Genomic DNA, 6,000 nt, shown 5'->3' on the forward strand with positions numbered 1-6,000 from the left:
GAAAAGGTTTGTGAAATATCTGAGGGTTTAAGATGAAACGTTAACTTCTTGAATATAGTGTTCTATCCTTCCTATTAAGGGGAAATTAGTTGCCACATTTGAAAGCCTCAATCTGAGCGGGAAATATGCAGTTTAGTGTGTGAACAAAAAGAGTAAATACACTCGTTTATCACAGGGCTTGGCCCCAGCTCCCAGCTTCCTGCTGTCCAAGTCCCCCCGCTGCCTGGCCTGAACAGAGCATTCGCATGATGCTGCGTTTTCCCCTGGGAGCTCTTCCCCTCTGCCACTCCGGAGGCTCCTTCCCTTGTGATTTTGTTCTCCCGGTTACACACAGGAAGAACACTGCCATGACCACTGCTTACACAACCATTTTTGCTGCTGCAATGCCCAAACGTTAACACATATTGGATTTTTATTACTACATGTCAGGCACCATGCTAAGGACTTGCAGGAGAACATAACCATGCGTGGTGGAGAATATTACCCTACTCATTTTGCAGGTGAGAAAACTGAGGCTGGGAGGCATAAGCTAGTTGCCAGAGGCACCTATTTTTCGAGTGTGACTCCAGATGCCATGTCTGACTCCAGAACCCCAATTGCTCTGCCTTTCTGATGGAAGTATCCCCTGCCACCTAGAAACAGCCACATATCTGAACAAAATGAAACAATCAATCAAACAGAAAGGCCACGTTGCATATTCCAGGATGGTTGGTGTCATCAATAATGAATGTGTCTGTGCATGCGTGAGGCTTGCGGTTGGGCAAAGCGCTCGGCCACCCTCCTGCAGAACCTGATTCTCCAATGTTTGGTGTTTACTAATGAAGCTGGGAGCTGCAGCGTCTGTGGGGGAAAATGTCTACAACTGCAGTGAACAAGTGAGAATTTATCTGATTCATAAAATTGGCACCTGCAGCCTTAGTACCCTGGGCCAATGTTAAACAAACGTTTTCAAAACAGTAAAATCCAGGAAGCTCTGAAGCACTCTAGTGAATTGAAGCCCATTTCCTGCACCGTCTTTCTAGGTCCAAGTTGGTTTATTGCTCAGTCTCTTGGGCAGGGTCACAGCAGAGACAGCTGTGCAGTCAGGGCACAGAGGGGCGGGCTGGGGTCTCGGGCGATGCCACAAGCTGATGAGCCAGTGGCCAGAGGACAGCGCCGGGCACCTCTCAGGGTCTCTCCTTCCTCCAAGACAGAACCAAGGAATTTATATGGGTGTGCTCTCAGCCTCAGACCAGACTTCAATCAGACGCTAGACGCGTGGAGGCTGTGGCTTCTCTGAAACCGAGCCTCCTCTTTATCCTTTCCCACACCCTTCACTGCCGTGGAGACTTTTCCTCCTAAAGTGCTTGAAGCGGGGAGCTTTCTGGTGGAAAACTCATATGGCTGGGAAGGAAAGCTCTCTACAAATGTCCTTCCTAGAAAAGCTCTTCCTTTATGTACAGCAGAAGAAACTACCTTAACCACTAGCAGATGTGAAAAGTTAAATTGGGAAAATCATTAAATTTGTTTAAAAATTGTAAAATGGTAGGTAACTACAATTGTAAAAGGGGAGAAAAAGAGATAATGCCATAAACAGCCAAATGCCTCCCTCCCTGAAACCACAATTATTAATATTATGTCATATTGGCCTTACAATTTTAATAAAATAAGTAAAATATTACAGATAAAATTAGAATCTTCAGTATAGTGATAGTTCACCCTCAAAAACAAGAAAGAATCATTCTAATCTCTGATCTACATGTAAGCTATGTATGTCACATTTATCTGTCTTCTCTCTAATCTGTAACCTATAAGTCTATCATATCTATCTATCTATTGCCTATCATCTATCTATCTATCATCTCTATCCATATATCTATAATCTATCAATCATCTATTATCTATCATTTCTATTTATCTATCTATCTAGCCTAACATCTATCTATCCATCATTTTCTATCTATTCATCTGTCATCCATCTAACCTATCATCTTTCCATCTACTTAACATCTATTTATCTATCTCATCTATGTATCTATGTAGCTATCTATGATCTATTTATCTATCATCTGTGTCATCTAAGCAATCTAATGTCTATCCATCTACCTAACACCTATCTCATCTCTCTATGTATCTATCTGTCTACTATTTAGATATCGTCTATCTATCTATGTATCAATCTATGCCTCTATCCTTCATCTCTTTATCATCTATATATCCATTGACCTACCTGTCTCTGAACTGTGGCTCATATTTATTGGCTGTATTGAGATAGCTTGAATCAGGGAAGAACACCTGACTTGGCTGCTGAGATGTTCCAAATCAAAACACCTCAGACTTTGTAAAATGTCACCCCTGCCCAGCAGAACATGTGGAATTGTATCACATCCAGAAAGTGTTTAATGAGCTGGTTAGTGATGAGCCTGGCCTGCTTCAGCTGCGTATCCCATCCCTTGACAACAGCAAACACTGAGCAATGGCACTCTTCATTTCTTAACTGTTGCTTTTTAGACAACGGTGTGTATGGAAACAGGGTTGTGGGAAGCCAAAAGCCCTGTAAAAATGTGGTCTAGCATCCCAGTCACCTCCTCCTGGGAGGGTTTGGCTTCCTGCCATTTCTATTCAGAGGCAGGCACTGCACGCTTGTTTCTGAACCTGGCTGGCCAGTGGCAGAGGGCATTCCAGTTATTATGGAAATTCACTGAGAGGAGAGGCACCTTGCCACTTCATCTCCACCTTGCACGGCACCTTCACAGTCCCATGCCGAGGAGGGTTGTTCAATAAATATTGTGGATTGAGCCAAGAGGGGATGGCAGATAACTGGAATTAACATGAGGCAGATGACACATGGTGCCAGAGTCATTTTATTCAATTATTGAATCAGAAAGTTCTCAGAAATAGTATTTACATATAGTCCATGGGACAATAAAAATTCCACAAAATTTTATTTTTAAAGATAGAGGGTCTTAGGTTCCTTTGCCACACCCTTCCGTCTTATCTCAAATAGCTTTGCGGGTCCTTCTGTGCCCTCTGTTCCAAGTAGAAATTTCTTCCCCACAATGAGCCGTCCCCTTAATCTCCTCCACTTCAAAGGATGCGTAATAGTTTCACACACCTCTGTGAGCAGCTGGGAAGATCTCGGAATATCAGCTTCCCTCCTGCTTCCCTCTTCAGTACACAATCCATTTCTTTAATACCAACTTAAAGTGAGTTATATTTGACAGCATTGCACAAGCCATGACTGCACGGCTATTGCTATCTGTGAAAAGATTCATTTGGATCTTTGGCATGTATACTTCAGAATCCTGTACACTCTTGGTTTCCATTGATTCTGTAGCTTCTACTTTTGCACGGCTCCATAGTTTCATGTTTAGTGTTGCTGAACAAAAGAAGAGGCTTTCTCTTTGCTTCGTCTTCTGTTTTCATGTGGTTGCTTCTTGTTCCCCCCACATAGCAGCAGGAATACTGCATGGTTCTTGTCCAGGAACACATAAATTATGCAAGATAAACCAAAGTACACAAGAAAATATGGGGCCTTCTTGCTTTTTTTGTAGGTAATACAATTGGTGTCTGAATCATTTGATTTACAAGGAGAAGTAAAAAAGTTTTGTGTGTGTCTGTGTGTGTATTAATCAATAGTTAACAAATTAATACATATTCTAAACATAGCAGGAATGGTGGTTGTTTTGCATGCAATTAGTTGTTTTCTATTTAATAACTTTCTTTTGGCCTGCTACATTTAATCATGACATAAGGTGTCTCCATCATATTAACTGTTGAATCCTTGCTAGGATGATTGGATTAGTTATCTGATTAGTTTATCCTGTAACTGTTTAATGCCTTTACTGAGTTTCATTGCATTATGATTCAGTTACATGAAAACTGCAATTTACCTGTAACTGACTCATGCAGGCTCAATTTCATTTCTGAATTTGGCTTTTTAGAACAAACAATTCAAGACTAAATTTATAACAGAGGTGCACTCATAAAAACAAATTACTAGGGTTTCTGAAGTTAAATCTAAAGAACTCTGCCCTGAGAAATCACATCTACTTCAAATAATCAAATATACATTTAGTTTCAGCCACCAATCACTTTCTAAGGAGGAACAATCTACAGACACTATTTTAGGAATACAAAAACTATTTATGTTATGTAGAAACTTCACTCCTTCTAAACCACTAATTACTAAGCATAGAGAGGTTTGCAAAATAAGCAGTATATTATTAGTAACTGGGCATAATTGATCATCATTTATTGGTGTAAATAATAAAGACAACAACGTGGTCCATCTTTGATCAAGGGTAGAGTATTATGCAAGAGGAGCATGGACTCCTGGACTGCACCTGTGATGCCACAGAAATGCGCAGCCCCACCTGCTCAATGCGTTCTGGTCACATTGGCCCACGTCTTCCCTGCCTGTCCTTACCCTGGGAAACAGTTTGACAGAGGCACAGACTGCACAGAACCCATGTCCACTCATATTTCATAGGTGGAAGCACTGAGACATGGTGAGGAGCTTTGATACAACCGTCTCAATGTTCAGAGAGCTAGAATACTTAACAAGCAGCACCAGGGATGAGGCAGGATTGGATCCAAGGTGATTTCCTGCTGTGCAAATTGGGATTTTTTTTTTTGCCTTAATTGTCCTGTATTCCATTTTCTTTATCCTTTACAATGGAGATGATAATGCCCGTCTCAAGAATGGTCGGAACTTAGTGAGAGAGTGGAAAGCACCTGGCATAAGGCAGTCTACACAAGATCATCAGTCAATAGCTCTGCTGGTAGTTAATGCATTGTACTGACAATTTTGATTGTGTAGGGAGTTTGACTTGAATTACCCTATTTAATGTTTATACTGACAAATAATAGTATAAACTCCATTTTACAAATGAGGAAACTAAAGTTTGAAGACACCTGATAATTTGAAGCTGTGCAGGAATTTGACCAAGGCCAGATTAAACTAAATAGAGAAGCTGGCATTGGCCCAGATCCCTCCACCCAACAGCTGAGGCTTTTCCCCCCAGTGACACACCAAGGACATCGTTGCTGTCAGGAGCACAGAGGCCTCAGAGATCCCCTGTCTCTCACTATCCCATCTGGATGGGGAGTTTCCCAGGTCCTCCATCCACCGTGATGCCAGCAAAGTCTTTCAATCTGGATAAAGACCTTGATGTTTCATATCAGAGAAAGACCCTGTTGTGGTCTTTGTCTCATAAAAGAACGTTCATGTTGAGGAGGTGAATTCAGCAAAAGGTTGTACAATCAGGACGATGTGACAAGTACGGACACACCTTGATTTATGGAGCTTTACTTCACGGCACTTCACAGATCATGTGTTTCTTACAAATTGAAGGTTCATGGCAACCCTGCACTGTGCAAGTTTATCAGTGCCATTTTCCCACAGTGTGTGCTCACTTCGGGTCTCCATGTCACGTTTTGATAATTCTCCCAATGTTCTGAAGTTTTTCATTATTATTATATCTGGTTTAGTGCTCTGTGGTCAGTGATGTTTGATGCCACTGCTGTAATTGTTTTGGGGCACCACAGACCATGTCCATAGAAGGTGGCAAACTCCATGGATAGATGTGTCTTCTGACTGCTCCACTGACCCGCCATTCTCCCGTCTTCCTCTGTCTCTTCAGGCCTCCTTATTCCCTGAAATACAACAATATTAAAAGTCGACCCCAGTCAGTAACCCTACAATGAACTCTAACTGCACAAGTAAAAGAAAAATTTACACTTCTCTTCCTTTAAATGCAAAGCTAGAAATGATTAATCTTAGTGAGGAAGGCATGTTGAAAATTGAGACAGAGCAAGAGCTAGGCCTCTTGTGCCAAACAGCCAAGCGGCCAATGCAAAGAACAAGTTCTTGAAGAAGTTAGAAGTACTACACCAGCGAACATACAGATGATAAGAAGTGAAACAACCTCATTGCTGAGATGGAGATCTAATACAAGATCAAACCAGCCACAGCATTCCTTTAAGTGGAAGCCTAATTCAGAGCAAGGCCGTGACTCT

Source organism: Homo sapiens, chromosome 10 (genome assembly GCF_000001405.40).
Source record: "Homo sapiens chromosome 10, GRCh38.p14 Primary Assembly".
NCBI lineage: Eukaryota > Metazoa > Chordata > Mammalia > Primates > Hominidae > Homo > Homo sapiens.